General features: G+C 44.8%; 2 protein-coding genes across 3 annotated transcripts in view, besides 1 other annotated feature; both read right to left on the bottom strand.

The window, feature by feature from the left end:
• Nucleotides 1-15,967, bottom strand: part of RANBP2 (RAN binding protein 2) — a 1,122,820-nt gene that overhangs the window by 659,627 nt on the left and 447,226 nt on the right. The window lies entirely within an intron of this gene.
• The window catches only part of SH3RF3 (SH3 domain containing ring finger 3), a 375,430-nt gene that overhangs the window by 321,960 nt on the left and 37,503 nt on the right, over nt 1-15,967 (bottom strand). The gene's annotated exons all lie outside the window — the stretch shown is intronic.
• Nucleotides 5,053-5,227: a silencer, noted in NCBI's record as "fragment chr2:109793904-109794078 (GRCh37/hg19 assembly coordinates)". NCBI's record gives its function as "represses an EF-1alpha promoter that drives an FKBP-Casp9 reporter gene in an ReSE screen in HepG2 liver carcinoma cells {active_cell/tissue: HepG2}" and the evidence as "EXISTENCE:reporter gene assay evidence [ECO:0000049][PMID:32094911]".

Below are 15,967 nucleotides of genomic sequence, written 5' to 3'. Positions count from 1 at the left end.
CATTACAATGTAACTGGAGCCATTACTTACCCACTCATTCATTCCTTTAGTCACCAATTTACGCAACATCGATTCATTCTTGCAATTAATGCAAAATATCTCCTGTGCAAGTTCCATGTGCTTTCTATGTCCCAAGCACATCCAGGAAGAAAAACACCTGACTATGTGAGATTATACTATGCAGACACCTTTCTGGGACACTATAGTTTGAGTGTGTCCCCCAAAGTTTATGTGTTGGAAATTTGATCCCTAATGCAGAGGGTTTGGACCTTTAAGAGGTGATTAGGTCATGAGGGCTTCACCTTCCTAAGTGGGTTAATGCCATTGTCATGGGAGTGGGCTAGTTATAAAAGCAGGGACTTCAGCCCCATTCTCTCACATGCACACATACTATCTCACCATGCGATGCCTTCTGCCATGGGATGACTCTCACCAAATGCCAGCGCCATGCTCTTGGACTTCCCAGCCTTCAAAATCATGAGTCAAATACACTTCTATTGTTTATAAGTTATCCAGTTTGTGGTATTCTTCTATAGCAGCAGAAAACTAAGTAAGACAAACCTCTTCATGCTTCAACAGGTGAAGCAATTACCTACTTTTCAAAAATTATTCAGGTTTACGGCATACATATGTTTATCACATAGATAATTTTTTTGAAGTTCAAAATCAGGCTCCTCCTCCCCTGAGCAATGAGCAAACATCACCAAACTGGCCTTTGGTTGCTCATTCAAGGCCCTTACAGCCATGGCAATATAACTACAGTAAAGCCTAAAAGGAAAACCAGAGAATATACTAACACATAAACCTAATTCCTGCCAGGATGGAAAAAAAAGGTGTAGGTCATGGAAAAATGGTCTTAGAATGTGGCATGGATGAAGTATGCTCAGAGATGTCAAGAAAAAGGCAGGGAGACAGATGGAACCTAGCATCCACTACCATGGCTGGAGAAGAAAGAGGAGGCAGGAGAGTAGACTCAGAGAATAGGAACCCCCTGTGGCCGGGAGGGAAATTTGGATTTGGTGTGTTCGGCAACAGGCATCTACTGCAGGTCCTTATGCTGGAGGGGAAGGTAAAAACATAACTTTTAATAAAGAGGAATCTGGTGAAAGTAGGAGTGTGGCATGGACCAGAGGATAAAGAAACTTTTGGGTACTTTTCTGCTGTGTTTGTTAGTGTGCGTGTGTGTGTGTGTTACACCAGTGGAATCCTTTCTTCACACAAACCCTTACAGCGCCAGATGCAACATGCCATTCTAGACTGGATCCTGGAACAGAAAAAAGACGTGAGTGGCAAGACTGCTGAAACCCTGGTAAAACCTGTAATTTAGTGAACAGTAATGTACCCATGTTAATTGCTTAGTTTTGACAAATGTACCATGGTAGCATAAGATATCAACATTAGTGGAGACTGGGCAAGGGGTATACAGGAATCCTCTGTTCTGTTTTCTCAACTTTTCCATAAACCTAAGATCATTCCCAAATAACAGGTTTATTTGAAAAACTCTGACACAGAAGTCCAACACCAAACACAGACGAGCTGGAAGGACCTTCCTGAGCCATCACTTCTCCTCACCACCTCCACATGCTCATGCTGACGGAGGGTCTGTGAGTACTGTGTGTGCACAGCGGGCTGGCCATCAAAGGACTTTGTCAAGAAGGGGAAAATTGGTAAGTAGGATTGGAATGTTATCAATCTGAGGAAGCTTGCATCAGGGTAAACATATTGCATGGAGAAATCTGCTGATAAATCCCACTGCAGAGCTCTCTGCATGGGGTGGTCCCTTCCAAGTAAGCTTGCCCTGGACTCAGCCCCTGAAGCCCCTGTGACCACACTCTTAGCTGACTGAGTATATTAGTCTGTTTCCACACTGCTGATAGACATACCAGAGACTGGGCAATTTACAAAATAAAGAGGTTTAATGGACTTACAGTTCCACATGGCTGGGGAAGCCTCACAATGGTGGTGGAAGGAAAGGAGGAGCAAGTCACATCTTACATGGAGGACATCAGACAAAGAGAGCCAAGCAAAAAGGGTTTCTCCTTATAAAATCATCAGATCTCGTGAGACTTATTTACTACCACAAGAACAGTATGGGAGAAACCACCCCCATGATTCAATTATCTCCCACTGGGTCCCTCCCACAACACGTGGGAATTATGAGAGTACAATTCAAGATGAGATTTGGGTGGGGATACAGAGCCAAACCATATCACTGGGCCAGGGGAAGTCACCTGACCCCTGAGGAGCCAGTTCATTGGCTAGCTAATGGCCTCTGTGTACCTGCTGTGAAGTAATTCCCTGAGCCAATGAGATGGTCCCTTTTGGGAAATGGAATCAGGAAACAGAGAAAAAGTCATCAATACCATCTGCCAAATCAGGAAAGGCAGCGGACTCAGAGAGAAGCAGAGATTGTGGGCAAAGGAAGGAGGCCGAAGCCCTGACTAGTGGGGAATACCAGTGGAGGGCAGTGGTTCAGTGGCAGCACAGGTAGAGAGGGAAGTAGACAGAGAACAGGGCCCAGCTGTGTGACTGGCAGACTAGAGAAAAAAAAAAAAACTTCTCCTGTGGTTCCTAACCCCATGGAGGCCCATTTGTTCAGCTGTGCCTGGGTCCCCACAGAGAGCAAACCTTACAATAAGATCCCACCACTTGAGGTAATTTGAATGGGTCTGATTCTTGCAACCCAAAGAGTCTTTTTAAGAACACCTTTGGGTCCAAATGATCCAGCCTCTGTCTTGTTTAATAGCCCTAGTTCTTTCGTCAGTGACTTTTTTGACCCCTGTATTTTCCTGCGATAAGGAGCACTTTGAGGGGTAAGAGACAGCGTGGTTTAGCCAAGAGGGCTATGGTTTGAATGTGTCCCCCAGATCTTATGTGTTGAAAACACAATCTCCAAATTCATATGTTGATGGCATCTTGAGGCAGGGTCTTTGGAGGTAATTAGGATTAGATAAAGCCATCAGGGTAGGGCCCCCATGATGGGACTTGTGGCTTTAGAAGAACAGGAAGAGAGACCTTAGCTAGCACATTCTTGCCCTCTCACCATGTGATACCCTCCACCATATTACAACACAGCAGGAAGGATATCATCAGATGCCAGTACCATGTTCTTGGACTTCCCAGTCTCCAGAACTGTGAGCTCATGAAACCTGTTTTCTTTATAAGTTACCCACTCTTTGGTATTATATTATAGCAACAGAAAACACACAAAGACAAGGACACTGGGCTGGGCAGCAGTTAAGAGATCTCAGGGATACCCCCCAGCTCCGAGCCACCACTCTGGGCAAGTCATGTCCTCTCACGTTCTGCTTTTTCATCTAATACAGGAAGAGTCTGGACTCACTGTCAGCAGCTCTGAAAATCTACAGACTACCTTTCTTTATATATCCTCTTACTTCTTGGCCATCACCTCCAGAATCAGAGGATAAAAAGGATCACATGTCAGAACAGGAAGTAGAACCTAATTTTGATTATCTCAATTTCCACGCAGCTGCAAGATACGTATTTCTCTGGTCAGGGACATTGTACATCCTACTCGTTTCCTTCCAGCTGCCATGACATTTCACAGACTCTTCTGAGGCTCAATTAAAGAATGTGAATCTCAGTTTACTTACAGACTCTCATTCTGGTTTAAAAATACACACACACACACACACACACACACACACACATTATTATACTTTATAAGAAAAAAAGTATTTCCCCCAAAACCTTCACACAAACACGAAAAGTTAATTTGAATATCTTACACAGGGAAGATGGTCCATAACTACTTTCTCAGGAGGTTTCCATGAAGTCATCATTTAATTCATTTATTAATTCAGTGAATATGTCCATATTCATTTCACTGTAACACAATTATTTTGCTCATTAAACATTTTGTGCTGCCAGAGACACCTACGAAATCTAATAAGCAGTTTCCAGAACTACACGACACACCAATTAAAAATGTTAATTAGATCTATGTGAACGACACAAGAACTTTGACAAAGTGAATTCCTGGGAGGACAGGAAGAGGAGCATGATCCATAAATAAGCCAACTGCCCTGCCTTGCTGTCTCACCACAGACTCTTTTGGTTCTGAAAAATAACGTATTTGAGTCCAAAGGCTTTGGGTTAAAGAGTTGACATAAATAAAACATAGCAATGTTGGGAATAATCTCTGACAAATACAGTTAGAGAATATAAACTATCCAAGTATAATATCTCTGGAGGACCTGCTACAGGAGACCATCTAGAGCTCACAAAACAATAAAAAAAAGGAAACTAAAGCATACCACCAATATTCCTCCACCACACTGAGTATATATCATTTCTAGCAGAAGCAGTATTATTCACGGGGGCTCAATGAATTGCAATAGAGAACATTCATAAAAGAGCTCTAAAAATTAAAGCAAAGAGGCAGATAAAAACGTTGACAACTAAGTTCCTGAAATTTATAGAATATGACTCTGCAATGTATGAAATACATATGAAAATATTTTGTTTGGTACATTGGTGCCTCATATTTTTTCCTTACCCTAAGAAAGGGTAGGTTTGTTGTATAGCAGCACAGATTGATATGGATATAGAAAGAGAAAATATTTTTAGTTTTAGGGTAGACTTGTTTGTTTGCTTATACCTTAGCAAAGAAACATACTTGAACAATTGGGAGAAAAGATTTAGGCCCTTTGTTTAGGTCTAATTTTCTGATTATGTTAGATGATTTGGGAAACATGTTGGCAAATCAAATGAGACTCCTGCTAGAAACTTCCAGTTTAATGGAGAAATCCTACCTCAAAGGAGAAAGGTGAATTAAACAAACAACTTTACTTGTTCTTGACCTACAAGCCATCTGGCAGTTGGCCAGAATAAATCAAACAAATTGCCTTGTCTAATAGGCTTTAATATTTCTTACATCTGAAATCTACTAGAGGATCAAGTTGAAGGGGGTTCTTAGCATTTTCCTGGGAAGTCTACCTGTCCTAAGTTATTCAGAGTTTTTAGATTACTACACAAGCAGGATCTCTGTGTGGTCTAGACACTATCATCTCTCCCCTCACCCTCACCCTCACCTCAACACCCTGTGGCCTTGTTCTTTCTCTGGACCACTGATACTAACTTTGTAGGAATGGTGCCCCCCCCCAGAGCAGGTGACAGTCACACTCCCCAGAGAAGTTAAATAGTGGCTTCACACACAGTTCCAAGGAGTCACGGAGCTGCCAAGTCCATGCATGAACCCTCTGGCAGATCACAGGCCCCAAGTCTAAAAAATCTCTGCCCCAGACTATTTCATGTCCAACTTATTCATGCTACAATGGCAGAGCCTGGTTAGTTGCAGTCCCTTGTACCACCCTAAGTATCTTTCTTAGTAGATATAAAAGAAAATCACCATGCATTGGGCTCCTTCTCTGCACCAGCCCCAGGCCTGGCATTTAATCTTCCTGCTTCACAATCCTGCACAGGAGCTATCATCGTCCCTGGTTTTGCATCTGAAAACACAGTCCCCCTTATTCTGACTCTGGGCTGAGTGTGTCTGTAAAGAAAAGATAAAGGCAGATGGCTAATCTCAGCACCACACGAGTGACTTTCCCAGTAAACAGAGCTTATTGTCTCAGACTCTGGAACATTTAAATGTAACTTCCACCAGGTCACACAGCAGGTGGCTGACAAAGCTGGGGAAAAGCCTGCTCACCCCAGTGCAGGGCTCTCTTGAGGCCATCATACCTCACCTAAAATGCCAAATCTCCCAAGTGATCAATCTCCTTTCCACCAGTCTCACCCTGACAAATGCATCCCTATCCTTCAGCTAGTGATCTTTCTCCCCTAAATACACATCATGGGCTGAAAACTGTTCAACAATGCCGTGTCACATAAGATAAAGTTCACGGCTGAGCCTAACTTCTGCCAGCGGAACAGCCTCCATTCCTGTTTCCATGCCCCTATGCCTTCTTTTTTAGAGACAGGGTCTGGCTCTGTGACCCAGGCTAGAGTGCGGTGACACCATCATAGCTCACTGAAATCTGAAACTCCCAGGTTCAAGCGATTCTCCTGCCTCAGCCTTCTGGGTTGCTGGGACTACAGGCATGTGCCACCACACCTGGCTAATTTTTTATTTTAATTTTTTGTAGGGATAGGGTCTCATTATGTTGCCAAGGCTGATCTTGAACCCCTGGACTGAAGTGATCCTCCCACCTTGGCCCCACAAAGTGTTAGGATTAGAGGCATGAGCCATCATGGCTGGCCCCTATGCCTTTTGATCAAGAAATTGTGAGCAACTATTGGGCTCCTAAAAACACAGCATTCCATTGCACATGGTGTTCTCTCAGAGTATCTCACTGCTGCTCAGCTGTCTTCTCTCAAAACACCTCCTTCCAGCCCTCAATGAAATAACCTTTCAATTAATTGGCTTCCTCCTCTGTACCCTTTTCTATTTTATTAAACTCTACAATTGCTACTTGACTCAAGAATCACAAAATAATCATTGCACAAGTCTGCTTTTCCCCCACTGGTTGTATGTTGGTTATTACCCTTTGAATTTTCAAGATTTAGCACTGGGCCAAGTAAAGGGCAGACACCCAGGAAATGCAGGTGGACAGAATGAGGCTTTCCAGTGTGCTGACCAAAACCCAAAGGAGCTAGGCCCCCAGTGAAGACAGAGTCTCAAGGATATAACATGCAGAATATCAATTAGACCACGTGGATCTTTTCTGCTTGCTCTCTGATCTGCTTCAGCACAAGTGATCCAGAAAAATAAAGTATTACTATAAAATATTCAAAGAACTCCCTGGAAAAAAATTAATTAGTGCATACCCAATAAATAATTAAGATGCAAAACTAAAAGACATGTTTAAAAAACTATTACTGGCATGGCAGCTTACAGCTGTTAAAAGATGAATTACTCCTTACTCTAGACTCTCTTTGAAGCCAATAGATTACAATTACACTGTTCAAAGTTACTTACTTCATTTTTATGTACACTCTACCTAGAAAAGTCCCTTAGTTGAGGTAACCCAAAATGTGTCCTATTACTGATTCTGGAGATCCTTAAAAATAAGGTTTCCACTGAGATTGCACTTTTCAGCCAAAGCAATAACCTAAGATTTCAGATTTGCAGCTCCTGCACCTGAGCAGCCACAGTGCTGGTCTCATTCAGGGGAGCCATGAGCTCATCCTTGTTTGCTCTCAGTTAATACTTGTTGAGTAAAGGAACAAACAGATGTGAAACCACCTGCCAACTCGTGAAGCTTCCTGGTTACACAGACGACTGCCAAAAAGTTTGCATTTATTTCCAAGTGTGCCTGAATTCACCAGCGTTTGCTTTTCAATGAGCTAACCTTTGTTTCTGTGCTGCAGGATGAAATACAAACCCCTCAGACATCTCATCAAGATAAAACCATGCAAAGATTAGCGTGCCAATAGGGGAAAGGATGAAGTACAAGTGCCAGGCAAGGAAAACAGGAAGCACCACAGGCCATGGCACCAAACTGACGTCACCACTGACTCTGAAATGATGGACTCCAATTTCTAGTCTGGACCAGGACTAGGTCCCGGTTTAGTGGGACTGATAATGACCAGGACTACTAGTAGGCATGAATGCACTTCTTAGCAGCATCTCAAAATCATTTAAATATGGGATTTTGCTGTGCGACTCAAATAAAGGCTACTCAAGGAAGCCAAAAGACAGTTGGGCAATATATTGTTTTGGAAAAAGGTATAAATCACTCTTTAAATATACCCTATTTAAGGCAAATGCAAGGACTCTCCCCATTAGATGACATCAGTGCTAGACAAGCCTAAAAGAGAATCTGAAATATGTTGACAGAGGGGCAGAAAGAAACTGCCTGTGCTCCTGCTATCCTATCCCTGAAGCTTGCACGCTAAGCCCCTGCCCTCATGGGTCTGCCAGCAGGGCTCCAGCGAGTGAGCCACACAAGGCATCATTTCCAACTTTTCCTCCAAAGACGCTGGGTTAAAATCTCCCACCTCAGTGCATGTGCCCTATCCTGAAAATATCATCTTCCAAATATATTACATTTATTAACCATTTATCTTCCTGTTCCTTATCAAACATAGCAAGGCTTCAGCCACCTAGATACGAACACCATAGCCACAATGGAGGGAATTCCAGACACCATGGGTTGTTGTAGAAAGACCACAGGCTTTGATTCCAGGACTGCCCGTTGCCCTGGCTGGGCCTGGCAGCAGCCAAGTGAGTGTGGCCTGGTGCCTACTCTGATCAGGGCACCACTCTGGTCCCACCCACGCCCCAGCTGTGGAGTATTGGCTGCCAACTGCATGAGGTATGGTATAGAAAAAAAATGAAAGGAAGTCAAAAACCCAGCACCCAGTCTGGTACACAGGAAGCATCCCCACATGTCTGTTCCTCTCCCCTCTTGCCAAAACAAAGCAACTTAGTCCTTCTCTCTGCCTGTGTTTCCCAGTCATAGATAAAACTGTGATGTCCACCTTACTCTTCGAAACAGTAAAATGGCCAGGGACATCCATGGCTACCTTCATGAACTCCACAACATCCTGGAGCCTCTGGTTGGGAGGCTCTGCCCTATGGCACAGCCCTGCTGTCCTGAAGCCACTGGGGCCACTGCACAGGCAAGGAAGGCTATGGGGACACTGTGGGAGCAGCCACCAAACCGCACTGCTGTGTGTTCTCTGAATCAAGGACTGAGCCCAGTGCTTTCCGCCACCAATGCCAGTCTCAGGACTCAGTGCCCACAGCCTGAACCCGACATCTGCTTTAAAGGGCATAAGAATTGGCCCACACCGGATTTCACATTCCTAATGAGAACATTCCAGATGAAGCAACAGCAAAAGAGCTGAGTCTGAACATCCAATTCCAAGGACGACGGCAGTGTTCCAGCCCCATCGCATGCCTTTGGTCAGGGGCCGACACTGAGCTCACAGCACACACCACAGGCAGGCTACCACAGTCCCTGGTCCCCCTAGACACTGCCCCTCCAGACAGCGGATTTCCCATCTTACATTCACTGTCTTTGCCGTGGGTCTCCTGCTCACATCCCACTGTCTAATGAGTCTCAGCAGGGGTCCATGAAAGGGCCAGACGGTAACCACTGCAGGCTGCGGGGTCTGTGTGGCCTTCCCCGCAGCCACCAGCTCTGCTGTTAGAGCTCTGTTGTTAGGCAGCCACAGACAATACATAGCCTGCAGGCAGTGTGCCAACCCCAGCCTTAAATCTGCCTGTGGGTAAGGCAGAGTCAACTGGAGAGGCAATGAAGAACTATGTCATTTATCCGAATTCTTCCAAACCAAGATAACCCGCCTTTATCTGAAACAGTCACACGATAGACAACCCAGGCAGGGACGGCTCGGTTGATAACGGGCAGAGCACAGGAAGGAGAGTCTGAGGAGAAAACGCAAGTGCAGGCTCAGGAGCCTCTCATCTCAATCCCAGGTTCTGAGCCAGACAATTCTTAAGGTTCTTTTCAACTTGATAATTACAGAATTCTAAGAACCATGACTCAGTCTGTGTTCGATTTCCATGAAGAAAAAAAGATTCCAAAGCCCTAGAAGTTACAAATTTTTAAAATTTGAGTTAAAAAAAGATGTTCATTTATTGAAACTTAAATAGATCAGAAAACATGAAGAAGAAAGTAAAATTTTCCCTTAAATCCCACCACCCAGGGATGACCAACACAGACTTTGGAAGTCTTACTGACATCTGCGTGAAGACAAGCGCAAGGTCATACATGACACTCAGTGTGTTCCCACAGCTACCAGTCACACAACAGTTATACCCACAGACAAGCAATTGCTTTGAACATGCACGTTTATTTTGGAAGAGAAATACTGGACTCAGCTAAGGCAGTGCTCTTCTACAATACTCACCAGTCGAGGCTTCGTGCTGGCACTGGGAAACTTAGACCACTTCCGTAACCCACATGCAGTTTGGTTTCTTAGCTAGGACAAAAAGTCCAGCATCCCTGCCAGAGCTCAACATGGGCAGACATGTGTCCCCATTTCTAAGACAAGGAAAATGAGAGCCCAGCAGTATCAGATCCCAAACAATTGCTTCCTGCTATGGGCTCCGGAGAGGTGATGCTGCTGATTCAAAACACCAGCCTGGGTGGCCAGGTGCAGCCCAATAATCCACACTGTTTGGAATAACAAGAGCTAGGACGGGACAAGCGGAGGGAGGTAAGAAAGGAAAATTACACCATTAAGGACTATTTTCACTGCAAACACCAAGAGGATAAAAGTTTGCTATCTCAATAAACGTATTTTAATGTTTTTAGGTTACAGTCACAGAAAAAGGAAGACCTCCAGGAGCAGGGAGAGGACGGCTGAGCTCCGTGCATGGTGAAGAGGGGTTTGACCGCTGGCTCGCGCATTTCCACGCTGTTTGCAAGGTCCTTGTCAGGAGAGAAACAGCACAGGCCACACGCAGCTGTTGCCCACAGATCCCTGTGGCGGCTGATACTTCAGACGCTGTGCTCAGAGGCCTGGCTGCCAGAGGACCCTGGTCTGAGAGCTAATGCACAGCTCACTCATCGGCATATTCCAGATGGCTCCGGGAGACCTGCTCCCCACCCGCTCTGCCCCAGGTCATTGCCTGGAACTGGGAAATGACGTGCATATCAAGTTTTCCCTCGTGCTCCAAACCAAGCAACCAAACAGGCCCTCATGGAGCCCACAGTGCTGGGCCCTGCCTTTTATTGGGAAACGGGCGACTCAGCTGAGAATCACGCTGAAAATAAACAAGCTCACCACAGCGAAAGGAGGGAGTCAAGGCTGGGCTCGGCACATGCATGCCCTTTATGGGAACACAGAATGGGAGTTTCAAAGTGAATCCATATAAAACACAAATAGAACATCTTCATTCCTGGATGACAGGCCAGCTTGGGGCAGGCAGCCACTCCCCGCTGCAAGTGAGCGTGGCCGGGATGCACGGCAGGGAGCCAGCCAGCGTGGGCACCAGGAGGGCAGCGCCAGGCGCAGGGGCTGGGCCTCTGGAAGGCATTAGCTGCACCGAACTCCCAAAGGCCCAGACTAAACAGCCCTGGAGCCCTGGATTCATTCCCGCACAGGAAATGTCTCAGAGGCAGCTCTGCACAGACCAGGGGCGGCGAGAAGGAAATAGCTCCCTGTGCTCCGTGTTCTAATGCACTTCCCTGGCCCGCCGCGGGCGAAGCCACAGCGCTGACCATACCCGCGAGCCCAGCAGCAGTGAGGGGTCGGGGTAGGGGGGCAAGCGTGGAGCAGGAGGGGAAGCATTTTTGTTAGGAAGAGTATTTCAAGTCAATATGCAGATAATTTTCTCCGAATATTCATAGTCACTAACAACAAATAGCCATCATTTTGTATAGAGATGACAAAAACTTTGAATTCTTAACAGGCTATAGATAAGAAATAGATATGACAAGGAAATAAAAGGACATTCAACTCTACATATATAACCAAAACAACCAAATACATGTAAGCAAATACAGCCATAATATGGTTATATTTGGTGATGTATGTACTTTATATACATAAATAAACCAAAAAATGTACATATATATAAAACAAAACAAAACCTGAATGATCTAGGTGCTGCAGATTACTGAGGAAGAGATAAGTCACACAGCAAGTGAGCTACATAAAACCAGGATGCCCATGAACCAAACCAGGACACAGACTCCCCCAGCCCCCAGCACCTGGCATGCAGGTGTGCCTCCCGGGCTTGGTTCCTGTGGGGAGCGCCCTGTGTGCCTCTGTGCCTCAGCACCCAGCCCGGTGTGGGCTACCTGCAGGCAACAGCTGCTTAGTGAGGTGATTTATCAGTCCTCTTTGAACAGAGGAAGGTGACGCAAGGTAGCTTACTGAGGGGAGAAAAGCGCCCTCTCTGTTCACAGGTAAACTATGCCCTGTGCACCTGGATGTCAGCTTCCTGAGAGAAACAGATGGGTCATCCGCACCCCTTGAGCCCCAGTGCCTGGCACATGGTCAATGCCCAACAAATATTTATTTAATTAACAAATAACAACCTCAGACTGTGGAGCAGGATGAACCCTTAGGAAATATTCTGTTTGACCAGGCACAGTGGCTCGCACCTGTAATCCCAGCGCTTTGGGTGGCCGAGGCGGGTGGATCACGAGGTTGAGGTCAGGAGATCGAGACCATCCTGGCCAACATAGTGAAACCCCATCTCTACTAAAAATACAAAAATTAGCCAGGCATGGTGGTGTGCGCCTGCAGTCCCAGCTACTCAGGAGGCTGAGGCAGGAGAATCACTTGAACCCGGGAGGCGGAGGTTGCAGTGAGCCGAGATTGTGCCACTGCACTCCAGCCTGGGCAACAGAACAAGATGTGGTCAAAAAAGAAAGAAAGAAAGGAAAGAGAGAGAGAGAGGAGAGAGAGAGAGGAGAGAAGAGAAGAGAAGAGAAGAGAAGAGAAGAGAAGAGAAGAGAAGAGAAGAGAAGAGAAGAGAAGAGAAAAGAAAAGAAGAGAAGAGAAGAGAAAAAAGAGAGAGAAAGAAAACATCTCGTTCATCTGCAGATAAGGAAACAAGAGCCGACGATGGTATTAGGGGTATGTAAAATTATAATCCTCTAAAACACCTTCATAGCCTAAGGAAACTTGTAGAGATTATAGTTTCTGGCAAAGTGTTTTGGCCAAAATGCCATGATTATCAAAACTATAACAGTTATGAGCCATATGAAGATAAAGGACTATTCAGGAAAATAGGATGTGATGTTTCTTTTGTTATCAAGTAAAACATTAAAGTCTCTTAAAGATTTAAAACTCATATACTTCTGCACTTCAATATAAAGCACCTGCCATGCATGCCAGGTGCCAGTGGGAGGGAGCATCTGTGTTCATGGAAGTTCTGGTTTTATATAGCCCACTTCCTATGTGACTTATCTTTTTCTGAGTAATCTATCAGCCTATTTGATTTTGGGGGGTCATGTGTGTGTGTGTGTGTGTATGGTTGTTTTATACATATGTATTTTGGTTATATATATAGATATATATAGAGAGAGAGATATAGCCAAACAATGAAAACAATTAAACACATGCTATGTTCAAATACATTGCCCAACCCTATTAAACTTATGGAGAGCTATCCTACTTGCTAAGCTCGGTCAGTTTGTTCAGCATAAAGCAACTTTATGCCTTTAGCCTGGACCCCTTAGAAGCTACAGAAATGAAAATGGACCCATGACCAAGAGAGCACAGAGCAGAGATAAGAAGCTCCCTCCAGCTTCCTCCCCGACAATTCAACACCCTCCTCCACCACAGGGAGCTGAGCTGTGTTCTTCACCAGCACAGCATCATCAGCCACATCATCACCATCATAGTATGGAGCAAGGGACCCTTCCTGAAACTTGGTGGGCTCAGAAATTAATTTCATACCACCAATGGATGGTACTATGAACTTGGCAAAAATAATATACCCGCCTCTCAGCAAGTACAAACACTTTCCAAATGATTTTAAATGCTTAGAGACAAACCAGCACTGTTTGTCCCATAGCTGGTTTTCTAACCACAAATAAAGTCACAACTCAGTATTATTAAATAGTACATATGACGAGATGTGGGCCTTACAACTAACAAATCTACCAGCAATCCTGCTCCAAAGAATTCTGGCTCCTCCAAAGGCTGCCTCAGTGGTGGTTCCTAGTGCCACTTCTCAGCCCTCAGTGACCAAGGGAGAGTCCTGTTAGGCAAACTCATGAGCTGCCTTTCTTCCAGGCCACACACCACAGGTGACAGCTCAATGTGTACTGAGCCCTCGAGAAGATGATGAAATCAGGTTTGGCTCAGGAGTCCTGAAGATACAGCAGAGAACAGGCCAGCATGCAGCGTTCCATTCATTTGTTTCCAAAGACAACTCTCACTGAGGTCTTAAAAAACACAGTTGCCCACCAGGAAGACAGAGATCTACTGTTCAGGCTTAATTCCTACTGTGAAGAAGGCAATGAGAAGGGCCAACAGTGCTGATGGCCTCTCAGAAGCCAGTGCCAGAAGGCATCACAACAGACCCAAGAGAAGGGAACTCCTGACTGAAAGGTTTTCAGTTTGAGCAGCTGCCAGTCCATGGCATCGATTTGTAAGATTCTTACCACCTACGGCCAGATCAGTCAGTCTGGGCAACATTACAGTCCGAAGATTAGAAGTAGGAAGAGACTAAGGTCAAGTGTAAGAAGATGTTGCAGAAGGTCCCCCTCTGAACAGGGAAGCCCTCTCCCTCCTGCTGAGAGCCCATCTTGCCCTCTCCCTCCTGCCAAGAGCCCATCTCGCAAGCACAGGAATCTAGCTAGCATTAGCAAGGCTCTTGAAGTCATCATATTTTTCCATTCATCTCACTCCTGATAGCTGGGTTCTGAACAAAGACAGCCCTGCACTCTGAGATCACTCACCAAATGACCAGAAATAATGCAAGAACAGGAATGTCATTTCCCAACAGTCAGACCCCATCAGGTGGTGAAAATGTATAGTTTTGATCTCTCCAGAAAAGCTCTGAATTTGTAACCCAATGATGCAATGTTTGCAAATCACAGTCTTCATTGCTGTTTTGGCTTCCTGAAAGCACACAATTTAAGCCTAACAAGGAGGCACTCAACGCATCATAAAAGCCCTGTCTTAATTGGGTGTGTAGGATGATTTCATTTTAGTAAATGAAAGTCCCACAGAGACTTTGCACAGAACAGGCTTCCCTCCCATGCCACATTTAGAGAGATCACCTTGTATCACTATGTTCAACATTTAATAAATGTTTCTCTACATGTGAAAGATACAACAATAAACACAACTATAGCTCCTTACCTGATGAAGCTTACGGTCAAGTGGAGAGAATTCAGACACTAGGCTGGGTGCAGTGGCTCACGCCTGTAATCCCAGCACTTTGGGAGGCTGAGGTGGGTGGATCACAAGGTCAGGAGATCAAGACCATCCTGGCTAACATGGCGCAATCCCACCTCTACTAAAAATACAAAAAATTAGCCAGGCGTGGTGACAGGTGTCTGTAGTCCCAGCTACTCGGGAGGCTGAAGTAGGAGAATCGCTTGAACCCAGGAAGCTGAGGTTGCAGTGAGCCGAGATCGTGCCGCTGCACTCCAGCCTGGGTGACAGAGCAACACTGTCTCAAAAATAAACAACTAAATAAATAAATGAATTAAATAAAAGAATTCAGACACTAAACAATACCAATGGGGGATGACTGGGGAAATACAATGTAAAACAGGAAATAATGAATAAGACACCAGCTCTCCTAGCCTGGGGGTTATTTCTACCAATCATCACCCCTTGCCAGGATATAAACCTTCAAGTCTCCCCAATACTTTTATATCAAATATGGTCCAGGCATCAGAGAGAGCTAATAATTCAATTCATGTTCCACCTGCAAGTGCTGAGAAGTCTTGTTCTAATTGGTTCTACCGCATCTCCTGTACCTATGATTTGTCAAGCAGCTACATAAATTGGTAGCTACATTTTGGTCTAAAAATGCCACTTTTCTCCGCCATCATCCTTTTTAAAAATATGGCTATCCTGGTTCTGGAAAAAATGGAAAAATGAAATCCCATATGCCAGGAACCATATCATAAAGAACACTTACTAGAACTACTCCTGAAGCAGTTCTGCTATTAATTTAACTTCTGGGTTCCCACTGGCCTGACCTCCATGGTATTCCCACGGGACACCGATGAGTGGTGTGTATTGTTCTTTTAGCATTGCTCAAGCTACTTAGCTTGCTGGAGGCAAAGGGGATGGCCCTTTTACAAGAAGGTAGATTTATGGATGCATCATGTTGCATGCATAAACACAGTAATGGCATGTTTTAAAGTAGTAAGCCCTAAGTATAATGTATAGCTTAAAAATCTTGTTAAAATCATATATGGGGGATTATAGTTTTATACTTAAGTATAGTTTTGTACTTACAGTTTTAACCTATATAGTTGAAAACTGAAGCTAGATGCCAGAACCTATGGCAATCACCAATAAGATGTGGAAAAAGGAAGAAGACATTCCA

Source organism: Homo sapiens, chromosome 2, assembly GCF_000001405.40.
Source record: "Homo sapiens chromosome 2, GRCh38.p14 Primary Assembly".
In the NCBI taxonomy this organism is placed as follows: domain Eukaryota; kingdom Metazoa; phylum Chordata; class Mammalia; order Primates; family Hominidae; genus Homo; species Homo sapiens.
The sequence above is the reverse complement of the archived record's forward strand: the minus strand, read 5'-3'. Positions and strand labels throughout refer to the sequence as shown.